General features: G+C 48.7%; 1 long non-coding RNA gene across 1 annotated transcript in view; it reads left to right on the top strand.

Annotated features, from left to right (window-relative positions):
- LOC102724521 (uncharacterized) overlaps positions 1-21,624 on the top strand; it is a 42,736-nt gene extending 21,112 nt beyond the window's left edge. The window contains exons 7-10 of the long non-coding RNA XR_001755744.2: positions 8,326-8,938; positions 18,408-18,528; positions 19,580-19,778; positions 20,385-21,624. This is a non-coding gene — a long non-coding RNA (uncharacterized LOC102724521). The remainder of the gene's footprint in view (positions 1-8,325; positions 8,939-18,407; positions 18,529-19,579; positions 19,779-20,384) is intronic.
- Positions 21,625-25,533: the final 3,909 nt, after the last annotated feature.

The following is a 25,533-nucleotide window of genomic DNA, read 5'->3' on the forward strand; positions in this document are numbered from 1 at the left end:
CAGGAGGATCCTTTGAGCCCGGGAGTCCGAGGCCGTACTGAGCTAGGATTGCACCACTGCACTCCAGCCTGGGCGACAGGGCGAGACTCTGTCTCAAAACAGAAAACAACAAGAACAAGAAGCCCCCCGAAAAAACAAGAAGTCCTGCCCACTCTTTTTTTTTGAGACAGTTTTCCTCTTGTTGCCCAGGGTGGAGTGCAATGGCGTGATCTCGGCTCACTGCATTTTCTGCCTCCCGGGTTCAAGAGATTCTCCTGCCTCAGCCTCCTGAGTAGCTGGGAGTACAGGCACCTGCCACCACGCCTGGCTAATTTTGCATTTTTAGTAGAGATGGGGTTTCACCATGTTGGCCAGGCTGGTCTCGAACTCCTGACCTCATGTGATCCACCTGCCTCGGCCTCCCAAAGTGCTGGGATGACAGGCGTGAGCCACCCTGTCTGTCCCCTTTCCTTTATCTTTTACAACTCCAGGACTTTAGCATAAGCCTACAAGTCCTCCCCCTTCTTTTAAGATTTTTTTCCTCTTCGATTTCACTCAGCTGAGAGAAAGGGGAGACCTCCCCCCCTCCCTTTTCACCAAACACCTACTCATTTTCCCAAGCTGTACCCACCATACTCACAGCAAATTTCATTTAGGATAGACATTTTATTTTATTTATTTTTTTTTTCATTTTTTTGAGACAGAGTCTCGCTGTGTCGCCCAGGCTGGAGTACAGTGGCACGATCTCGGCTCACTACAACCTCCGCCTCCCGAGTTCAAGTGATTCTCCTGCCTCAGCCTCCGGAGTAGCTGGGATGACAGGTGCACGTCAACCTCAGCCCACAAGGTGGCCCAAGGCACACGGAGTTCACATTGTACCCACCATGGGTCGAAGGTGGGCGTCTGATTCCTCCTGAAGGGTGGGGAGCTGTGATGTGAACAGGCCACTTCAATGGGACAGGCGTGATCTCCATTTGGGACTAAATACAAGCCCATGGAGGGTCCACAGAGCACCAAGGGAAGCTGGCATTTCAAAACATCTGCCTCGTTTGTCTAAACCACACCACACCACACACCACTCTGGGGTCTGTTTGGCCACAGAGAATCCTCTAGCCCCAAATGTCAGCAGAGCTGAGGCTGAGAGACACTGACTGAGGGACTCTATCTATCATCTGTCAATCAATCAATCAATCATCTATCTGTCTATCCATTATCTATCTATTTATCCACCTATCATCTATCTATCTATCATCTATCTCTCTCTCATCCGTCCATCCATCGTCTATTCTATCTGTCATCTATGTATCTATCCATCTAGTCATCCATCTATCTATCCTGTGTGTATTTATCCATTCTATGTATCTATCTATGTATCTATCTATGTATCTATCTATGTATCTATCTATCTATCTATCTATCTATCTATCTATCTATCTGTCATCTATGTATCTATCCATCTATTCATCCATCTATCCTGTATGTATTTGTCCATCCATCCATCCATCTATTCTATCATCTATCTTCATCTATGTATCTATCCATCTATTCATCCATCTATCCTGCATGTATTTATCTATCCATCATCCATCTATTCTATCATCTATCATCTATGTATCTATCCATCTATTCATCCATCTATCCTGCATGTATTTATCTATCCATCCATCCATCTATTCTATCATCTATCTATCATCTATGTATCTATCCACCTATTCATCCATCTATCTTGTATGTATTCATCCATCCATCCATCTATTCTATTATCTATCTATCATCTATTCATCCATCTATCTATCCTGCATGTATTTATCTATCCATCCATCCATCCATCTATTCTATCATCTATCTGTCTTCTATGTATCTATCCATCTATTCATCCATCTTGTATGTATTTATCCATCCATGCATCTACTCAACCATCCCTCCTCTATTTATCATCTCTATCATCTGTAAGTCAATCAGTTTATCCATCATCTATCAATCACCCACATCTATCTTTATTATCTATCACCTGTCTATTTATCTATCTATCCTGTATGTATTTATCCATCCATCCATCCCTCCATCCATCCATTCCCTGTCTATCTCTATCATATAGAGAAAAATGGCAGCCGCGTCCACACTGGCCTCAGAACTCTCTGGTGAGGTTGCACCAATGAAGCAACAGATTGTGAGGATGTCACTTTTCTGGTTTTTTTTTTTTCAAGATGGAATCTCACTCTGTCACCCAGGCTGGAGTGCAGTGGCACGATCTCAGCTCACTGCAACCTCCACCTCCTGGGTTCAAGTGATTCTCCTGCCTCCGCCTCTTGAGGAGCTGGGACTACAGGTGCTCACCACCACGCCTGGCTAATTTTTGTATTTTTAGTAGAGATGGGGTCTCACCGTGTTGGCCAGGCTGGTCTTGAACTAGTGACCACAGGTGATCTGTCTGCCTCGGCCTCCCAAAGTGCTGGGATTACAGGCATGAGCCACCGTGCCCAGTGACGTCACTTTTCTTTGAATAGTTTAGATCAAACCGCACCAACTGTATGTGACTTTGTTATATCTTTTATTATATGTATAACAGAAATACATAGTTATATGTGTTGTATTTGGAAGTGTATCACTGAATGTGGTTCTGAGGACCTTGGGGAATTATTTAATTTAATTTAATTAATTTATTGTAGAGATGGGGTGTCATGAGGTTGCTCAGACTGATCTCAAACTTCTGGGCTCAAGGGATCCTCCCTCCCTTCTCGGCCTCCTAAAGTGCTGGGATTACAAGTGGGAGCCACTGTGCCTGGCAGGGGGATTATTTTAAATGCTTCCTAAGCAAAATAAATAATGCATGAGACACTTACTGCATCTGCTCCTCAAATTCCTTCCAAAAGTGCTTTGGGGCCGGGTGCAGTGGCTCACGCCTGCAATCCCAGCACTTTGGGAGGCTGAGGTGGGAGGATCGCTGGAGCCAGGAGTTTGAGACCAGTCTGGGCAACATAGCAAGACCCCAGCTCTATAAAAAAAATATCTTGGGAGGCCGAGGCGGGCAGATCATGAGGTCAGGAGATCGAGACCATCCTGGCTGACACGGTGAAACCCCGTCTCTACTAAAAATACAAAAAATTAGCTGGGCGCGGTGGCGGGCGCCTGTAGTCCCAGCTACTCGGGAGGCTGAGGCAGGAGAGTGGCGTGAACCCGGGAGGCAGAGCTTGCAGTGAGCCGAGATCACGCCACTGCACTCCAGCCTGGGCGACAGAGTGAGACTCTGTCTCAAAAAAAAAAAAAAAAAAATCAGGTAGATGTGGTGGTTTCCACCTGTAGTCCCAGCTCCTGGGGAGACTAAGGTGGGAGCATTCCTTGAGCCCAGGACGTCGAGGCTGCAGTGAGCCAAGATCGTACCACAGCTCTCCAGTCTGGGCAATAGAGTTAGCTTCTCATCTCTGCAAAAATAAAGATTAAAAAAAATACTCTCATTGTTCAACTCCCACTTAGGAGTAAGAACTTGCGGTGTTTGGTTTTCTGTTCCTGTGTGAGTTTGCTGAGAATGATGGTTTCCAGCTTCGTCCATGTCCCTGCAAATGACAGGAGCTCACCCTTTTTCATGGCTGCATAGTATTCCATGGTGTCTGTGTGCCACATTTTCTTTATCCAGTCTATCATTGATGGGCATTTGGGTTGGTCCCAAGTCTTTTGCTATTCCCAGCAGGTTTTCAAAGCCCGTCGTCTTTGCTTAGCGTGCACCATGATGTCGGCTCTCTGAATTCACCGTCTTTCTAGATGAGTCCCAGAGTTTTTCTTCATCACTCAGTATTTGGCAACAGGGAAGTTTTTCTAAGCAAGTCAACCCATCAATGATAGACTGGATAAAGAAAATGTGGCACATAGACACCATGGAATACTATGCAGCCATCAAAAAGGATGAGTTCATGTCGTTCGCAGGGACATGGATGAATCTGGAATCCATCATTCTCAGCAAACTCACACAGGAACAGAAAACCAAACACTGCATGTTCTCACTCCTAAGTGGGAGTTGAACAATGAGAACACATGGACACAGGAAGGGGAACATCACACACCCGGGCCTGTCGAGGGCTGTGGGGCTGTGGAAGGGATTGCATTAGGAGAAATTCTCACCATCTATGAACCCCTCATTTCCTCATCGGGAAAAATGTACCTGAAAATAGCGCCTGCCTCTGAGTGTTGTGGTAAGGAAGCAATGCCATTATTTATGTCTCATGCTGTGGCTTGAGACTGTGTCTGTTTATGCTGCTCTGGTTTGTGGTGGAGGCTGCCGTCTGTCAGCCTCTGCACCTGCCGTCTGTCAGCCTCTGCACCTGCTCTGAAGTTTTCCTCTCGGTGGTACCCACCCATCATCCTGCTGCCCTTGAGTTCCCAGGAGCCCACAGGAGCTGCACTTTCTCCAGGCCTTTTGCCGGTGGAGCTGCCTCTTGGATTGTGCGTCTCCATCCGATGCACTCTGTTTTCATGTGAAAATCCATGGGAATAAAAAGGCTCTTTTCGTGCTGAAAAATTGAGCCCAGGGGTTCAGCCAGCAGAGGACTCTGTGGGTATAAATATGAATGGAGAGGATTCTAAATATATAGCAGAGCAGAAGTCAGATGTTTGTGGAGAGGTGAAACGGCCTGGCCAGGTTCTTGGAACTTTAGAAATGAGGATGGCTTCCGGGGGAACTGGGGAGCGACCGTTCTCAACTGGGGATGAACATGCACCCCGACGGACACTCGGCACTGTCTGGGGCGGTTCTGGGTGTGGTAACTGGGAGGGGGGTGCTCCTGGCACCTGGTTTGTGGAGCCCGGGGATGCTGCTCACCACCTTACAGTGACCACAGAGAATCCTCCAGCCCCAAATGTCAGCAGAGGTGAGGCTGAGAGACACTATCTGAGGGACTCTATCATCTGTCAATCAATCAATCAATCTCTCAATCTATTATGCATCTATCTATCTATCTATCTATCTATCTACCCACCTATCATCTATCATTTATCTATGTATCTATGTATCTATGTATCTATCTACCTATCATCTATCTATCATCTATCTATGTATCTATCTATGTATCTATTATCTATCTATCCACCTATCATCTATCTATAATCTCTCTCTCTCCCAACCATCCATCTATCCATCCATCCATCCATCTATCCATCTATCCATTATCTATCATACATCTATCTATTCATCCATCCATCATCTATCATCTCTATCATCTATAAATCAATTTATCCATCATCTGTCATTCATCCATCCATCACCCATCTTTATTATCTATCATCTATCTATCCATCTATCATTCATCTATCATCTACCCATCCATTACCTATCTATCTCTATCATATATAAATCAATCAATCTATCATCTATCATCCACCAATCTACCTATTTATCTAGATCTGCCTATCTACCTTTATCTATTATCTATCATCAATCTTTATTATCTATCTATCATCTATCTACAGATCTATTTATTGACCCATTATCTATCTATCATCTATCTACCTATCTATCTAATCTGTGCTTTTCAGCTGCTGCCGATTGTCTCCTCTGAGGACACTTTGTCAGTCTCTGGGGACACTTTTGGTTGTCTGGATTGTGGAGTGAGGGTGCTTCTGGTCGCTGGTGGGTGAAGCCCAGGGACACTGCTCAACACCCTACAGTGCACAGATCAGCCCCACCAGAGAGAATCGTCCAGTCCCATGTGTCGGAAGTACCAGGGCTGAAAGACACTGCCTGAGGCTGAGACAATCTCTGTTTGTCTATCTATCACCTATCAGTGATCTATCAGTCAATTATCTACCTATTAACTGTCTATATCAATTATCTGTCATACCTATCAATCAGCTATCATTAATCATCTGTCTATATCAATTATCCATCATACCTATCAATCAACTATCTATCATCAATCATCTATCTATACTAATTATCCATCATACATATCAATCAACTAACAATCATCAATCATCAAGCATCTATATCAATTATCCATCAAACCTATCAATCATATATCATCAATCATCTATCTGTGTGAATTATCCATCATACCTATCAATCAGCTATCAATCGTCAATCATATATCAATTATCCATCATACCTATCAATCAACCATCTATCAATCATCAATCTATATCAATTATCTGTCATACCTATCAATCATCAATCATCTATCTATATCAATTATCCATCATACTTATCAATCAACCATCTATCTATATGAATTATCCATCATATCTATCAATCAACTACCTATCATCAATCTATATCAATTATCCGTCACACCTTTCGATCAGCTATCTATCAATCATCAATCATCTATATCAATTATCCATCAAACCTATCAATCAACTATTTGTCAATTATCAATCATCTATATCAATTATGCATCATACCTATCAACTATCATCAATCATCTATCTATATGAATTATCCATCATACCTATCAATCAACTACCTATCAATCTATATCAATTATCCATCACACCTATCAATCAACTATTTATCAATTATCATCTATATCAATTATGCATCATACCTATCAACTATCATCAATCATCTATCTATATCAATTATCCATCATACCTATCAATCAGCTATCAATCATCAATCCTTGATCTATATCATTTATGCATCAATCATCAATCATCTGTATCAATTATCAATCATCTATTTACCTATCAAATCAACTATGTATCATCTTTCATCATATCTATCAATTGTCCATCAGTCAGTTATCTACCTGTCTATTCAATGGTTTGCAAACAGGATGATTTTCTTTTTCTGAGAAGAGGTCTCAAAACTTTGTTTTGGGCTGGGCACGGTGGCTCACACCTGTAATCCCAGCACTGTGGGAGGCCAAGGCGGACCGATCACCTGAGGTCTGGAGTTCGAGGCCAGCCTGGCCAACATGGTGAAACCCCGTCTCTACTAAAAATACAAAAACTAGCTGGGCGTGGTGGCGGGTGCCTGTAATCCCAGCTACTCGGGAGGCTGAGGCAGGATAGTTGCTTGAACCTGGGAGGCGGAGGTTGCAGTGAGCCGAGATTTTGCACTCCAGCCTGGGCAACAAGTGTGAAAATTCGTCTCAAAAATTAAAAATAAAAAATAAAATCTTCATTTTGTCCTGAGTTGAAACTGAAGGGCCGGCATCGTGCTTCCCAAAGATGTCCTGTTTTATGCTGGAGGTGGCAGTTTCTTGTATTTGCAGATATGTGTGAAAAACCAGACCTTGGCAATGACTTTGACAATAGGCGGTAAATAACTGCCAGATGCTTAGCGTTCCAATAATGGAATGCTAGGCATCGATAGGTTTAAGCCCCCTATGATTTTAGCACTGATATGGAAGTACGGGATTCCTTCATGGAGAAAATAAGACACTGGTTTTGCTTTCTGTTTTCTTTTCTTTCTTTTTTTTTTTTGAGAAGGAGTCTTGCTCTTGTACCCCCAGGCTGGAGTGCAATGGTACTATCTCGGCTCACTGCAACCTCCGCCTCCCAGGTTCAAGTGATTCTCATGCCTCAACCTCCAAAGTAGCTGGGGTTACAGGTGCACGCCATATCTGTGCACCATGCTGGCCAGGCTGGTCTCGAACTCCTGACCGCAGGTTACCTGCCCGAGCCACCACGCCTGGCCGCAAACACCGCATTTCAAATATACTGAGTCCTTCAGCTCGGAGGTCAGAAATGGCCAAGGGCGGCCGGGCCGGTGGCTCACGCCTGCAATCCTGCAATCCTAGCATTTTGAGAGGCCAAGGTGGGAGGATTGCTTGACGCCAAGGAGTTTAAGACCAGCCTGGGCAACATAGCAAGACCCCGATTTCTACACAAAATAAAAAAAAAATTAGTCAGGCGTGGTGGCTCACGTCTGTAGTCCCAGACACTGGGAAGTCCGAGGAGGGAGGATCGCCTGAGTCCAGGCGTCCGAGGCTGCAGTGAGCCATGATTGAGCTACTGCACTCCAGCCTGGGCAACAGAGCCAGACCCTGTCTTAAAAATAAAATAATAATTCAAAAAATAGGCCAGGCGCGTTGGCTCATGCCTGTAATCCCAGGACTTTGGGAGGCAGAGGTGGGCAGATCACCTGAGGTCGGGAGTTCAAGACCAGCCTGGCTAACACGGTGAACCCCCGTCTCTACTAAAAATACTAAAATCAGCTGGGCGTGGTGGCAGGTGCCTGTAATCCCAGCTACTCGGGAGGCTGAGGCAGGAGAATGGCTTGAACCCGGGAGGCGGAGGTTTCAGTGAGCCGAGACTGCGCCATTGCACCCCAGCCTGGGCAGCAAGAGCGAAACTCCGTCTCAAGAAAAGAAAAGAAAAAAAATGCTCAGGTACATTTTTGCTTTATTTCAGGATTTCTTTACGTTGCTGTGAAAACCTGGATGTTGGGGGCTCTGTCTGTGTATCGTAGACGGAGTTTTGAATTGCTCCAGTGAAACACAAGTATTTTACCTTACGCTGTCAACCTGCTGGGGGAAGCGTGAAGACAGTTTAACCTTCTGGCTCCGGTAATCATCTTGTCTCAGAGACCTCGGAGAGCTCCCAGAGCCTGGCTGCCACGGTGGTTCTATATACCCTCCAGCCCTGGCCTGCCTTGGGACACCCCTCTCCGCCTGCCGGCCCCAGAATTTCCCCACACACGCGGTCATCACAGCCCGAGATGTTTAATGACGGCTTCATGCACCAGGCTATTGCCCTAAACACGGGTGACAGGCCAAACACACACTAATTACCTAACTCAATTCAAGCCCGCCTGGCCCCGTGGAAAGGCTGAGCTGGGGATGCACGCAGGTGCCCCGTCGTTACCTCCGGATGTCAAATTGAAGTGAGGTTTTCCCGCATGAGCGGGGAGAGCTGTTTCTACGCACCAAGATTTCCACGGTTTGCAGGAGAAAGAGTTTTGTGTCTGCCCTCTGGACAGCCCTGTCAGTTTTATCAAGCGTGTCTGATTAAGGAATATTTAAAGGTATGTGTTCAGAAGCGTTTCTCCCCTTCTTTTGTGTGTGTGTGTGGCCATGTTTAAAAAAAACAAATGTAAAACCAGTTACAGGCAAAGTAGGCTAGTTTGGTGCTGAAATAACGCCGTCGTTCATGAGCCGGCTTAAATAATGCAGTTGTTAGAAACCAGCTCTCAAAGCTGTGGGTTGGCTGAGGAGGGTTAGTACGAGGTCCTGACCCCAAACCTGTGTGTATCTGGAGCCGGCGGGAGACATTTGGCCTGGAGTATGAGGCTGGCTGGACCTGGAAGGTCCTCAGCGTTAGAGGGACTGTTTCGGGAAGGTTTTCTGGCAGCTGAGTCCCAATTCCAGGAGGAAGTAGGCATTGAGTAGATAATTTCAGCTCCCCCATTGAAGCCGTCCAGCCTGCAGAGAAAGATAGCAGTGGCCCCCTGCCCTATCCCGGCAAAGCTGACCCCGAGAATGCCCGGGTCACAAGCCCAGGTGGACAGTGTCTCCTTGTGCCTCGGAAGAGAATTCTGCATTAGGAAGGAATCCAGGGGGAATGGGGAGAAAAGGCCCGAGATACGTGAGCAGAGGTGAGAGCCGTGCCAGGGCTGAGCCACGCTTCAGGAGAGACCAGCTATGTCTCTCTCTGTGTTGGGAGCCGTTGGGTAAAGCGGGGACTTCTGGGTGAGCCAACATTACAGACTTATATGGGAATTTAAGGCTCGGTTAAATATGCCCCTCAAAAAAGTTTCCTGACTTTTTTTTGATACGCCAGTTTCATTATCAGGGGGCTCATCAGCCGGGGACGCGGTGCAGGACGGATGGAAGCCGTGGGCCGTGTCAACTCTACAGGGCTGTATTTCTTTTTTTTTTTCGTGCTCATTACGATTCTTGGATGTGTGTAATTTACATCTAAATGCACTGACTAATTTTGATCCAATCATGTCAAAAATGATAGGTACTGTGTGGGAGGAGATGACAGCCGTACCAGCGCGCGTTGCCAGAGTGAGAGTCCCTCGGGGCAATGATTTAATGCCCCCAGTCAGCCGGGCCTGTCAGCTTCGGAGGCCAAATTATGACACATCATGTCGACGACCGGTCCACACGGAGGCTGCGGTGGGGGGAGCCCTGGTTCACCCAGCACCGTCCTGGCCGACCCCCGGCCCCGGCTGCCGCCCCGTGCCCCGTCACACACGCAAGATGCAGAGTGGGGAGAAATGATGCGCTAACCCCCCTGTAAAAGAGTCATTTGCATCTGTATTTTTTACTCCAGCAAGGGCATGTCAGGTGTTTGCGGGAAGGGCAGGCTGGACGGCCTCCATGCAGCGTGAGCGTGTCCGCGTGTGTGTGTGCACGTGTGTCCACATGTGTGTGTGGTGTCTGCGTGCCTCTGTGTGTGTCCGTGTGTGCGCACGCGCCCGTGTGTGTGCATCTGTGTGTGGCGTCAGCATGTGTCTATGTGTGTCCATGTGTGTATGTATGTGTGCATGCATGCACCTGTATGTGTGTCTGTGTGCATGCATGTGAGTGTATGTGTGTGTGTCTGAGTGTGAGCGTGCCTATGCACGTGTGTGTGTGCATGTTTCTGTGTGTGCATACGCCCATGTGTGTCTGTGTGCATGCGTGTGTGTGTATGTTAGTGTGAGGGTGGACGTGTGCCTATGCACCTATGTGTGTATGTGTTTCTGCATGTCTGTGCATGCATGCACCTGTATGCGTGTCTGAGTGCATGCGTGGGAGTGTATGTGCGTGTCTCAGTGTGGGCATGCCTATGCACATATGTGTGCACATGTTTCTGTGTGCATATGCTTGCATGTGTGTGTGCATGCATGTGAGTGGATGTGTGTGTGAGTGTGGGCATGCCTATGCACGTGTGTGTGTGCATGTTTCTGTGTGTCTGTATACGCCTGTGTCTTGAGTGTGTGAATGTGCCTATGGACATGTGTATACATGTTTCTGCATGTCTGTGCATGCATATGCCTGTGTGTCTCTGTGTGCATGCGTGTGAGTGTGTGTGTATGTTAGTGTGAGGGTGGACGTGTGCCTATGCACCTATGTGTGTATGTGTTTCTGCATGTCTGTGCATGCATGCACCTGTATGCGTGTCTGAGTGCATGCGTGGGAGTGTATGTGCGTGTCTCAGTGTGGACATGCCTATGCACATATGTGTGCACATGTTTCTGTGTGCATATGCTTGCATGTGTGTGTGCGTGCATGTGAGTGGATGTGTGTGTGAGTGTGGGCATGCCTATGCACGTGTGTGTGTGCATGTTTCTGTGTGTCTGCGTATACGCCTGTGTCTTGAGTGTGTGAATGTGCCTATGGACATGTGTGTACATGTTTCTGCATGTCTGTGCATGCATATGCCTGTGTGTCTCTGTGTGTATGCGTGTGAGTGGCATTCATGTGTGTGTATTTGCGTGAGGTGGGCATGCCTATGCACGTATATGTGTACATGTTTCTGTATGTCTGTGCATGCATATGCCTGTATATGTGTCTGTGTGCACATGTGTTCATATATGTGTGTCTGTGTGAGTGTACATATGCCTATGTACGTACGTGTGTACGTTTCTGTGTATCTGTGTGTCTGTGCGTGCATCTGCCTGTATATGTGTGTGTGTGTGCAAATGTGTCTGTATGTGTGTGTCTGTGTGAATGTGGGTGTGCCTTGTACGTATGTGTGTACATGTTTCTGTGTATCTGTGTACCTGTGTGTGCATTCGCCTGCATGTCTGTGTGTGTGCATGCATGTCAGTGAACGTTGGCGGCCTCTCCTCAGAGCCCCTCTTGCCTGAAGGAAGTGCCACCTCCAGCCCCCCTTTGCTTTGTTTTGCGTCTCGGGAGTGACGTCACTGTCGGCTCCGCAGGATCCTCCCATCCTTGTTCGTCCTGGGCTTGCGGGATGAGTCTGTCAGGAGCAGACACGCCGTGGTGGGCCGTGCACACGTTTGCACCTGCTCTCAGAAGTCCTTTCCCCGAGGAGGAGGCTCTGTTGGAGAGAGAGACCCTTGGGCACCTGTGGGCCCTCACTGCTCTCTTCTGAGACTGTGGTACCGGCCATCTCCAGCCCTGGCCCTGGCCCGGTGACTTCCCCAGGGCACCCCAGGGATGTGCCAAAGGAGGACTCCCCGGGGAGGGTGGGTGAGGTGCGTGCCCGCCGTGCCGAGACGCTCCTGAAGGCAGAGGCTGCTCAGGAAAGTCGGCTGCTTCCTAATCTCCGTCCGTGCTCACGCAAAGTCCTCGGTCGCCGTCTGCCACACGCTTATTTTATTTGGCAGAAGTTACAGCTCAGGCAATTTCGTTAGGAAACCTGTTGGGGTTTCTTGGTTCTATGCAGGATGGCTGGTGCTTTAGGAGGAGGTGGGGATTAGAAAGAGTCTTGAGGCCGGACGTGGTGGCTCACGCCTGCAATCCCAGCACTTTGGGAGGCTGAGGCGGGTGGATCACGAGGTCAGCAGTTCGAGACCAGCCTGACCAACATGGTGAAACCCCATCTCTACTAAAAATACAAAAAAATCAGCCAGGTATGGTGGTGGGCACCTGTAGTTCCAGCTAGTCGGGAGGCTGAGGCAGGAGAATCACTTAAACCTGGGAGGTGGAGGTTGCAGTGAGCCGAGATCGCACCAATGTACTCCAGCCTGGGTGACAGTGTGAGACTCCATCTCAAAAAAAAAAAAAAAGTTAGCCAGGCGTGGTGGCAGGTGCCTGTAATCCCAGCTGCTTGAGATGCTGAGGCAGGAGAATCACTTAAACCCGGGAGGTGGAGGTTGCAGTGAGCCAAGATCATGCCATTGCACTCCAGCCTGGGTGACAAAAGTGAGACTACGGCTCAAAAAAAGAAAAAAAAATACAAATAGTAGCCAAGCCTGGTGGTGAACACCTGGAACCCTGGCTACTTCGGAGGCTGAGGCGGGAGAATCGTTTGAACCCGGGAGGCGGAGGTTGCAGCGAGCTGAGGTCGCGCCTGGGAGGCAGAGGTTGCAAGATTCTGTCTCGGAAAAAAAAAAAAGAAAATATGATCCATCTGTAACATTGAATGCTACACAGCCATGAAAAAGAATCAAATCATGTCCTTTGCAGAAATACGGATGCAGCTGGAGGCGCTTCTTCTTCTTCTTTTTTTTTTTTTTTTTTAGACGGATTCTCACTCTGTCGCCCAGGCTGGAGTGCAGTGGCGCGGTCTCGGCTCACTGCAAGCTCCGCCTCCTTGGTTCACGCCATTCTCTTGCCTCAGTGGAGGCCCACATAAGAGGGAGCTAAAATTGGGTACAAATAGTCATAGAAATGGGAACAATAGATGCTGGCGTCTGCTAGACGGGGGAGGGAAGGATGGAGGCAAAGGCGGAAAAATCATACGTTGGGTCCCATGCTCAGTACTTGGATGGCACAATCCTTCATGCCCCAAACTTCAGCATCACACATTATACTCAAGCAACAAATGTGCACATGAGCCTCCTGAATCCGAAATAAAAGTTGCCATGATTTAAAAAAGAAATAAAGATGATGATTGAAATATGTGTTTTTATTTTTTGAGACAGAGTCTCGCTGTGTCACCCAGGCTGGAGTGCAGTGGCGTGATCTCAGCTCACTGCAACCTCCACCTCCTGGGTTCAAGCAATTCTCCTGCCTCAGCCTCCCGAGTAGCTGGGAAGACAGGCGCCTGCCACCATGCCTGACTAATTTTTGTATTTTTAGTAGAGACGGGGTTTCTCCATATTGGCCAGGCTGGTCTCGAACTCCCGACCTCAGGTGATCCACCTGCCTTGGCCTCCCAAACTGCTGGGATTACAGGTGGGAGCCACTGCGCGCAGCATTTGTCTGTTGTTTATAAGTTGCCACATCTGACATTTGGTGGTGTTGGATTTTCTCTGAAGGTCTTTTTTTTTGAGATGGAGTCTTGCTCTGTCGCCCAGGCTGGAGTGCAGTGGTGCAATCTCGGCTCACTGCAACCTCCGCCTCCTGAGTTCAAGTGATTCTCCTGCCTCAGCCTCCCGAGTAGCTGGGATTGCAGGCACCCACCACCACGCCTGCCTAATTTTTGTGTTTTTAGTAGAGACAGGGTTTCACCATGTTGGCCAGGATGGTCTCAAACTCCTGACCTGGTGATCCGCCTGCCTTGGCCTCCCAAAGTGCTGGGATTACAGGCATGAGCCTCCACACCTGGCCTTTTTTTTTTTCTGAGACTGAGTCTTACTCTGTCGCCCAGGCTGGAGTGCAATGGCACGATCTCGGCTCACCGCAACCTCCACCTCCTGGATTCAAGCGATTCTCCTGCCTCAGCCTCCCGAGCAGCTGGGATGACAGGCCCCCGCCACCACACCTGCCTAATTTTTTTTTGTATTTTCAGTAGAGGTGGGGTTTCACCATGTGAGTCAGGCTGGTCTCCAACTCCTGACCTCAAGTGATCCTCCCGCCTCGGCCTCCCAAAGTGCTGGGATCGCGGACGTGAGCCACCACACCGGCCAACATTCACGCGATTTTCAGAATTAGCAGCCACCCGTCTGGGTCCCCACAGTGTTTGGGGAAAGGGATTTGGGGGTGTGGTACGCCCTGTGTTCCCCGGCGGGCAGCTGGGGCCGGACTCCCTTGCCGACATCCTGTGTGTTCTCTGCATCTCGAAGTTGTCACGAACTCTCATGGCAACCCCCTTCTCGTGCTATGGGTTCCGTTTAGCCTCCCTCAGAATTAGCTAAAAACCCACCGGCTTGATTTCTGGCATTTGCAACGGCCGCGCTCAGGAAACCTCCTGCCTCCTGAAAATGCTCATGCTGGCGGAACGGGAAGGCAAATAGGAATCCGTGGATGATAAATGGGCGTTTTAAGCAGCAGTTTACTTAATATCCCTATTAAACGAGACTCTTTGCATTAATCACTTCATTCTCCAGCAGTCTATAAGGCCCTTTAATTGCTTCTTAAATGAGGACTGAGTTTCCGTCCAAACTCAATCTTGGATGGGGAGAGAGAGATGCTAGCCAGGGCTCAGCTGCCCGGCTGCCAAGAACTGTCAGAATTGATCACGTATGTGTTCACGTTTCCTACAGTCTCATTGGAGTTCTCTGAGATTGACAGGAGAAAGTATCACATACTTTGTGTGTGTGTGTGTGTGTGTGTGTCTGTGTGTGTCAGAGACAGAGGGACACAGAGGCCGGGAGCAGGGGTGTGTAAGTGTGAGGTTCTGAACGCAAAGACAGGCCGTTCTGCTCACAATCCACAGGCCAGCGACCTTGTGGACCATTGCATTATGTATTAGCAATATTTATTTTCATTTTATGATTTTATTTATTTGAGACAGCTTCTTGGTCTGTCGCCCATGCTGGAGGGCAGTGGTGCAATCATAGCTCACTGCAGCCTTGATCTTCCAGGCTCAAGAAATCTTCCCTCCTCAGCCTCCCAACTAGCTGGGACTACAGGTGCATGCCACCATGCCTGTCTATTTTTTTTTTTTTGGAGGCAGGGTCAGTCACCCAGGCTGGAGAGCAGCGGTGTGATCTTGGCTTACCACAACCTCCGCCTCCCAGGTTCAAGCGATTCTCCTGTGTCAGCCTCCCGAGTAGCTGGGATGACAGGCACCCGCCACCACGTCTGGCTAATTTTTGTATTTTCAGTAGAGACAGGGTTTCACCAAGCTGGCCACGCTGGACTCGAACTCCTGACCTCAGGTGATCCACCTGCCTCGGCCTCCCAAAGTGCTGGGATTATAGGCGTGAGCCACCACGCCGGGCCCATACCTGGCTATATATATATATATATATATATATATATATATATATATATTTTAATGTTTTGTAGAGATGGGGGTCTCACTATATTGCAAACCAGGCTGGTCTCAAACCCTTGGGCTCAAGTGATCCTCCCACATCAGCCTCCCAAAGTGCTGGGATTATATATTTATCTACTTTTGAGATGGAGTCTCGCGCTGTCGCCCAGGCTGGAGTGCAGTGGCATGAGCTCGGCTCACCGCAAACTCCGCCTCCCGGGTTCAAGCGATCCTCCTGCCTCAGCCTCCCGAGGAGCTGGGATTACAGGCGCCCGCCACCACGCCCGGCTAATTTTGTATTTTTAGTAGAGACGGGGTTTCTCCATGTTGGTCAGGCTGGTCTCGAACTCCTGATCTCATGATCCACCCACCTCAGCCTCCCGAAGTGCTGGGATGAGAGGTGTGAGCCACCGCACCTGGCTACTTTTGTATTTTGAGTAGAGATGGAATTTCACCATGTTGGTCTGGCTGGTCTCGAACTCCTGACCTCTAGTGATCCACCTGCCTTGGCCTCCCAAACTGCTGGGATGACAGGCATGAGCCACCGTGCCCTGCCTGGGATTATTATCACAAATAACACCTATTCATTTTTACAAACCATATTTATGTAGTTATTCAAACCTAGGGCTAAAAATGATGTGGCTGCTGGGGTGACCTTTGGGGTAGGATCGGGAATTGGGGTGTAGCCCTCCTCCAGGCTCCATAGACCTCAGCCCCCCCAAGTTCTGTTTCTGACTTGTTCATGCTCAGAAAGTTGTCAGGGACGGCCTGGGTTTCTTTCCCACCTTCCTTGTTTGGGAGGAAGGTTCTGGAATCCTTTTTTTTTTTTTTTTTAGATGGAATTTTGCTCTTGTTGCCCAGGCTGGAGTGCAATGGTGCCAACTCAGCTCACTCCAACCTCCACCTCCCGGGTTCAAGCCATTCTCCTGCCTCAGCCTCCCGAGTAGCTGGAATTACAGGCATGAGCCACCACACCCGGCTAATGTTTGTATTTTTAGTAGAGACGGGATTTCACCACGTTGGCCAGGCTGGTCTCGAACTCGCGACCTCAGGTGATCTTCCCGCCTCGGTCTCCCAAAGTGTTGGGGTTACAGGCGTGAGCCTCCGCGCCCAGCCGGGTTCTGGAATCTTGAAGCTCCCCAGACACCAAGGCTGGATGGAAAGTTAGGCCATCAGAAAGCAAATGGGGAGAGGCTCGTGGGAATAGCGTGGGCCTCATGTAGTGTTTTGCTTTATGTGAAATGGGGCAGCAAAAAACAGCTGTTCCCTCCACCCCCCAGGCTGGAAAATTTATCTCCAGTATTCATTCTGGTAAATGAATGCCTGTGTGTTAGTAAGAGGGGAAGGAGCTGCTAGTCCTTGAGGTCAGCTGAAACCTCCTTCAGAGCCTCCAGCCTGGCCTTGAGACCGGCTCACCACATGTGAGCAGCCAGGAGCCCCGCCAAGACCTGCTGTTGCCCCTCCTTCCTGCCCTGCCCCAGTGCCGGGGTCCTGTGGATGTAGATTTTTTCTTTTTTTTTTTTTGAGATGGAGTTTCGCTCTTGTCCCTTAGGCTGGACAGCAATGGCGCGATCTCTGCTCACCACAACCTCCGCCTCCCAGGTTCAAGCCATTCTCCTGCCTCAGCCTCCGGAGTAGCTGGGATTACAGGCACCCGCCACCACTTGTAAATTTTGTATTTTTAGTAGAGATGGGGTTTCACCCTGTTGGCCAGGCTGGTCTCGAACTCCTGACCTCAGGTGATCCACCTGCCTTGGCCTCCCAAAGTGCTGGGATTACAGGCGTGAGCCGCTGTGCCGGGCCTGTTGATTCTTATCTGGCTTTCATGGGACCACAGGGGCTCCTGAAAGTGTGAAACAGAGAATTTCCATAGAACCCAGTAATACCCCAGCTAAGTATGTACCTAAAAGAATAGAAAGGAGGGGCCGGGAACAGTGACTCACGCCTGTAATCCCAGCACTTTGGGAGGCCGAGGCAGGTGGATCACCTCAGGTCGGGAGTTGGAGACCAGCCTGACCAACATGGAGAAACCCCGTCTCTACTAAACATACAAAATTAGCCAAGGGCGTGGAGGTGCCTGCCTGTAATTTCAGCTACTGAGGAGGCTGAGGCAAGAGAATCCCTTGAACCCGGGAGGCGGACGTTGTGGTGAGCCGAGATGGCGCCATTTCACTCCATCCTGGGCAACAAGAGTGAAACTCCGTCTCAAAAAAAAGAAAGAGGGACTGGAAGAGATATCTGCTCGCTCACGTTTGTAGGAGCACACACATGGAAACCATCCAGGTGTCCCTCAGTGGATGAATCGATAAACAAACAGTGGTTCACTCACTTTGTGCCCACCCAGTGGAGTACTATACAGCCATGAAAAAGAATGAGGCTGTGACCTAGGCTGCAACGTGGATACACCCTGAAGAAGTCACACTCAGCGATATTTCCTTTGGCTTATTGTACAATCCCCTTACGTCAACTGTCCGGAAGCGGCCAATGCACAGAGAGAGAGCTCAGATGAGTGGTTGCCACAGGCTGTGGGGAGGGAATGAGGAGGAACTGCTTCCTGGGGAGGGGGTCTCCTTTTATGGGGAGAAGGATGTTCTGGAAGTAGACAGAGGGGGTGGTTACACGGCGCAGTGATGTTCTCAATGCCACTGAGATTTTCACGGCGGTTAAAGTGGTGAGTTTTATGTTGTGAAATTTATGGTGAATTTCATATAATACGTTTTATGTCATTGCAGTGAAAAACAACACAATCCCGGCCCTCCTACGGCCCCCGCCTTCCCTCTGTGTCTGCGGTCTGTACCCTACGAACGCCTAGGACGCTAGACGGGATCCCTCCCCACGGAGCTATATAGGAAGGTGAACCCAGTCTGGGGTTCCTGAGCTGCTACGGCTCACTGCTTCCTTTCGGAAATTGGTGTATTGTCTTTGGAAAATGACTTCACACAAACCTGCTCACAGATATACCCGGTCCCAGATATGCCTAAGTGAGCGGAGACTACCGTGTCCTGAAACAGCATCTTCTCTTTTAAAAAATGTTGTGTTTTTTGTTTTGTCTTTTTTCTTTTTTTTGAGATAGGATCTCACTGTGTTGCCCAGGCTGGAGTGCAACAGTGTAATCATAGCTCACTGCAGCCTCAACTTCCCAGGCTCAAGCGATCCTCCTGCCTCAGCCTCCCAAGGAGCTGGGATTACATGTGTGCACCACCATGCCTGGCTAATTTTTTGATCTTTTGTATAGATGAGACCTCACTATGTTGCCCAGGCTGGAGTGCATCAGTGTAATCATAGCTCACTGCAGCCTCAACTTCCCAGGCTCAAGCGATCCTCCTGCCTCAGCCTCCCAAGTAGCTGGGACTACATGTGTGCGCCACCACGCCCGGCTAAGTTTTTGATCTTTTGTGGAGATCAGGCCTCACTATGTTGCCCAGGCTGGAGTGCAGTGGTGTAATCATAGCTCACTGCAGCCTCAACTTCCCAGGCTCAAGCGATCCTCCCACCTCAGCCTTCTAAGTATGTGGGATTACAGACATGCACCATCACGCCCAGCTAAGTTTTTGATTTCTTTTGGTACATACAGGGTCTCACTATGTTGCCCAGGCTGGTCTTGAATTCCTGGGCTCAAGTGATCCTCACTCCTCGGCCTCCCAAAGTGCTGAGATTACAGGCGTGAGCCACCATGCCTGGCCTCTTTTTTTGTTTTTGAGACAAGGTCTGAAATAACAACTATCTGTAAAAAAAAAAATATATATATATATATGGTTTTAATGTTATATATATAAGGTTTTAATGTTATATATAAATGTTTTATATTTATATATGACATATATAACATTTTAATGCTATATACATATAATGTTTTAATGTTATATATACATACAAATATATAAATATATATATTTTTAAACAGGGTCTTGCTCTGTCACCTGGGCTGGAGTACCCTGGTGTGATCACAGCTCACGGTTGCTTCGACCTCCTGGTCTCCAGCGATCCTCCTGTCTCAGCCTCCCCAAAATGCTGGGATTACAGGTGTGAGCCGCCGCTCCTGGCCAGCACCTTCTCTTATGCGGTACCTGGAAAGTCCCACATCATGCGAACGTCTCCACCAGGTACCCGGGAGGTGGCATTCGGGGAATGAGGGGGACCAGGGCTCAGAGCATCCCCAAAGTGGCTTCCTTGCCTCATAGGGTCACCCCCTTAGCCCAGAGCTGGAGGTGAGTGGGGGCGTGAAAGAGGCATCTTCCCTTCCAGAGGGCGGCAGTGGGGTTGAATGGATAACTTTAATCCTGACACACGTATTTCAGAAGACCTACCGCCAACTTTCCAGCTATGGGCAGCAGGTGTGATGAACACACGGGCCCCGGTGAGGGCTGAATGGGCCCAGATGGCAGGGGCAGAGAGGTTTGCATTCATTTTAATGTTCTCAGAAACTAGGATAAGCACTGGCAGCGGATGGAATGAGGAGAGCTGCATATTCGGTGAACTGTGTTGAAAGCACAGGGTTTTCACGGAAAATAAATAATGTCCAATGCAGCTAAAATACCGTGCGCCACCCGTAAGCCGGCGTTTATCCAGAGCTCCGAGTGTCTGTGAGATTTTAAGGAAAAGAAAGGAAGCTGGAAAAAAAAATAATAATCCAAATGAATCACAGACCAACGATCCCTAAAAGGTTTGCTTTAATAATTTTTTTTTTTTTTTTTTTGTGGCTGTGGAAGATGACTCGGATTCAAAATAATGAGGATGTTTATGTCTGCAGTCTGTTCCTCTCTTGAAGATTCAATTCTAAATAATGCAGGTCTCCTAAATGCTAGCAAATAGTGTCATACACTCCTTTTCACAAAATAGCTTTGACTTTGGGGAAGGCAACTATCATTAACTGGGCACCGGCACCTTTAAGCAAAGGTTTCCTGGAATAACAGTCAGCTAAGGAAATATAATGAGAGCTATTTCTTGCCCTTCCTGCTCGAAACCGTTGGCTGGAACTCAGCCTGCCCCTCAGCTGAAGCACGTCTGGTTTAAATTCATACGGCATAGATTTACAATTTTTAAACGACTGGATATGTATTTTTTTTTTTCTACGCTGTTTGCAGACCTGGTGGACACCTGTTGTTTCTGGTTAGGAAAGGAGGAGATAATTGGATACCAGAGAGAGCCTGACTTCTTGAGCCACCATTTAACCGGCTGATTTCAGCAATAAATTGGAGGGGGGCGGGGATGGGGAAAAAATAACACCCAAGAAACATTCAGACAGATTTGCAACCACAAAGTCTGTCTCCTTTATTATTTTAATTTTATTATTATTATTACTTTTGCTTTGTTTAACATAAAAACGATCTAGGCGAGTCCTTCTGGGCTGATGTGTATGTGCTTTTTCCTGCCTGGCTATCCTGTAGCTTTATCTAAGGCAAATCGGAGTACGTGTAAATAAATTAGTTCAACCATTGTGGAAGACAGCGTGGCGATTCCTCAAGGATGTAGAACTAGAAATACCGTTTGACCCAGCCATCCCGTTACTGGGTATATACCCAAAGGATTATAAATCACTCTACCATAAAGACACATGCACACGTATGTTTATTGAGGCACTGTTCACAACAGCAAAGACTTGGAACCAACCCAAATGCCCATCAATGATAGACTGGATACAGAGAATGTGGCACACAGACACCATGGAATACTATGCAGCCACGAAAAAGGATGGGTTCATGTCCTTTGCAGGGACATGGATGAAGCTGGAAACCATCATTCTCAGCAAACTCGCACAGGAACAGAAAACCACACACCGCATGTTCTCACTCCTAAGTGGGAGCTGAACGATGAGAACACAGGGACGCAGGGAGGGGAACATCACACACCGGGGCCTGTCAGTGGGTTGCGGGCCAAGGAGTGGGATTGCATTAGGATGCTATCCTAATGCTAACAAATATCTAATCCATCCAGGGCTTAACACCTAGATAAGGGACCTCCTCTGAATAATTAATATACTCCTGGTGATAGATGATCCGCACGGTCTGGATATTAGGTTATCAATCACGACCCACTTGTTTTAACGTAATCCTATTGAACACGTGTCAGGAGCTGTTTACCCAGAGGTGACAGCTACACAGCACCCCCATTTCCAGCCAGAAAATCGTACCATTTCCTTTCCTTCGACTGCCGCTTCCCGACCCCTTTCCCCGTTTCCGGCCAGAAAATCGTACCATTTCCTTTCCTTAACCTGCCGCTTCCTGACACTTTCCCCCCAGTGTTTTAGTACAGATGGAGTTTCACCATGTTGGCCAGGCTGGTCTTCGATGGGTGACTTCAGGTGATCCGCCTGCTTCAGCCTCCCAAAGTGCTGGGATGACAGGCGTGAGCCACTGTGCCCGGCCTCCAGTGTTTTTCAAATTGTGGTAAAACGCACATAACACAAAGTCTAGAGCATTAACCATGTATTTTGTTTTAAGACAGAGTTTCACTCTTGTCGCCCAGGTTGGAGTGCAATGGCATGATCTCGGCTCACTGCAAACTCTGCCTCTTGGGTTCAAGCGATTCTCCTGCCTCAGTCTCCCGAGTAGCTGAGATTACAGGCGCCCGCCACCACGCCCGGCTAATTTTTTGTATTTTTAGTAGAGACCGGGTTTCCCCATGTTGGTGAGGCTGGTCTTGAACTCCTGACCTCAGGTGATCCACCTGCCTCAGCCTCCCAAAGTGCTGGGATGACAGGCGTGAGCCACCGTGCCCGGCCGGCATTCACCGTGTGTAAATGTACACAGCAGTTTGAACTGCAGTTGGCTTCTGCAGCCATCACCACCATCCGTATCTCCAGAAGTTTCTCATCTTCCCAAACAGAAACCCTGTTCCCCTTACACACTCACTCCCTTTCCCCGGCTGCCATCAACCTCCTCTCCATCTCCATGACTCTGAGGACTCCAGGGACCTCCTGTAAATGGAATCCCACAGTGTGTATCTTTTTTTTTTTTTTTTTTTTTTTTTTTGAGATGGAGTCTTGCTCTGTCGCCCAGGCTGGAGTGCAGTGGCGCGATCTCGGCTCACTGCAAGCTCCGCCTCCCGGGTTCACGCCATTCTCCTGCCTCAGCCTCCCGAGTAGCTGGGACTACAGGCGCCCGCCACCACATCTGGTTAATTTTTTTGTATTTTTAGTAGAGACGGGCTTTCACCGTGTTAGCCGAGATGGTCTCGATCTCCTGACCTCATGATCCGCCTGCCTCGGCCTCCCAAAGTGCTGGGATTACAGGCGTGAGCCACGGCGCCCGGCCCCACAGTGTTTATCTTTCTGTGTCTGGCTTCGTCACTGCTCCAAGACTCACGTTTGTTGTAGCAAGCGCCAAATTTTCTTCCTTTTGGCTGGCTTATGAGGATTTTAGGAGGGACTTCAGTCTCCCAGTTTGTTATTTATTTTCTACGTGCTTTCTACGTCACGCGTTTCCTGTGTTTCTGTCCTCTTGTGTGTTTCATTGATTTATTTTTATTTTTGTAGACACGAAGTCTTGCTCTGTCACCCAGTGAGACTCCAACTCCTGGGCTCAAGCAATCCTCCTGCCTCAGCCTCCCGAGTAGCTGGGAGCACAGGCATGCACCACCACGCCTGGCTAATTTTTTTTTTTTTTTTTTTTTGGTAGGGACAGGCTCCTGGGGAAGAGGGGGAAGGAAAGGAGTGGTCTTGGGCCCTGTATTGTAGGAGTTTCTGGGCTTCTAACAACAGCAACTTGTTTTCTCCCAGTCCCGGTGTCCAGGAGTCTGAGATCAAGGTGTAGGCAGGACCACAGTCCCTCCAGAGGTTCTAGGGGAGGGTCCTTCCTGCCTCTCCCAGCTCCCGGGGGCTCCAGGCTTCCTGGGCTTGTGGCCGCGTCACTCCAGTCTCTGCCTCCGTTCTCCACGTGGCCTTCTTCTCTGTGTCTGTGTCTTCTCTTCTGTCTCTTACAAGGACACCTGCCATTGCATTTAGGGCCCAGCCTACTCCAGGATGACCTCATCTCAAACTTCTTGAGTTAACTGTGTCTGCAAAGACCCTATTTTCAAATAAGTTCTCATTCACAGATACTGGGAGCTTAAAACAACAGAAATTTATCCTCTCCCAGTCCTGCAGACCAGGAGTCTGAGATGAAGCGGTCTCAGGGCTGAGCTCCCTCCAGAGGCCCTAGGGGAGGGTCCTTCCTGCCTCTCCCAGCTCCTGGGGGCTCCAGGCTTCCTGGGCTTGTGGCCGCATCACTCCAGTCTCTGCCTCTGTTCTCCACGTGGCCTTCTCCTCTGTGTCTGTGTCTCCTCTTCTGTCTCTTAGAAGGACACCTGTCAATGGATTTAGGACTCACCTAATCCAGGATCATCTCATTTCGAAATCCTTGACTTAGTTACATCTGTAAAGACCTCATATCCGAATAAGATTCCATTCATGGGTTGAGGGAGTTAGGATGTAGACATAGCTTTTCGGGGAGACTATGGTTCAACCCATTCCGATTGTATCCAGTTCCTTCTGGAGGTTCTAGGGGAGGGTCCTTCCTGCCTCTCCCAGCTCCTGGGGGCTCCAGGCATCCCTGGGCTTGTGGCCGCCTCACTCCAGTCTCTGCCTCCGTCTCCACGTGGACTTCTCCTCTGTGTCTGTGTCTCCTCTTCTGTCTCTTAGAAAGTCACCTGTCATTGCATTTAGGGTCCACCCTCATTCATGATCATCTCATCTCAAGATCCTTCACTTAATCACATTTGCAGAGACCCTATTTCCAAACGATATCTCATTCTAGGTTCTGGGCTTTAGGATGTGGACAGATCTTTCTGGGGGCCACTGTTCAATCCATTACAATTGTATCCACTTCCTTGTAGAGGTTCTAGGGCAGGATCCTTCCTGCCTCTCCCAGCTCCTGGGGGCTCCAGGTGTCCCTGGGCTTGTGGCCGCATCACTCCAGTCTCTGCCTCCGTCTCCACGTGGACTTCTCCTCTGTGTCTGTGTGTCCTCTTCTGTCTCTTACAAGGACACCTGTCATTGCATTTAGAGCTCACCTAATCCAGGATGATCTCACCTCAAGATCCTCAACTTAATTACATCTGCATGTGTGAGTGGCTTCCCGGAGACACCCCTTTTCTCTCCCATTCCTTTTTCTTTTTCCCTACCATGGAGGACGAGGACACGCACGCACGGGAACTCAAGTTTCACCCCGTGAGTATTTTAGGCGTGGGGCACTTTCAGCCCAGGTGTATGAAAATGGTCTCATTAAGGGGACTGCTCGGATGACACATCCAGTGAGGGTGGCATTGCCTGTGTGGCAGTTCAAAGAATCGGAGACAAGCTCTAGAGAGAGCGAGGACACACACAGGTGCACGCATCACACACACACACGTGCACACGCGGGCACGCACACACAGGTGCACACGGCCATCACCCCGGCCGCGTGAGAGTGTTGCTTATATCGAAACCGTCTTCAGCCCAGAAGGTCACTCGTGGCAATAATGGTCTCGTTAGACACGCCATCCATCATTCAAATAATCGCAATTTAGAGCCCGCGTTTCATGCCGGGCTGGTTTAATCACCAGCAGCAGTTTGTGAAGGGCCTCATTCGCCTGGGATTCGGGGATATTGCGTGATTTAGCAGACGTGACCCCTGACCTCTGCGGGGGGCGGAGAGCCTGCCTTGGAGGCAAAAGCGGAACAGCGAGGGTGACTCACTCAGGGACAATTATTATGCTTAACAGCCTCACTGTCATCTTAGAAGGAAAAAGAGCCAAAAAAAAAAAAAAAATCCATAGGATGCTGAGCATTCCTTCCAGATCCTTCAGCATTCCTTCCAGATCCTTCAGCATTCCTTCCAGATCCTTCAGCATTCCTTCCAGATCCTTCAGCATTCCTTCCAGATCCTTCAGCATTCCTTCCAG

The sequence above is a fragment of the Homo sapiens genome, chromosome X (genome assembly GCF_000001405.40).
Source record: "Homo sapiens chromosome X, GRCh38.p14 Primary Assembly".
NCBI classification, from domain to species: Eukaryota; Metazoa; Chordata; class Mammalia; order Primates; family Hominidae; genus Homo; species Homo sapiens.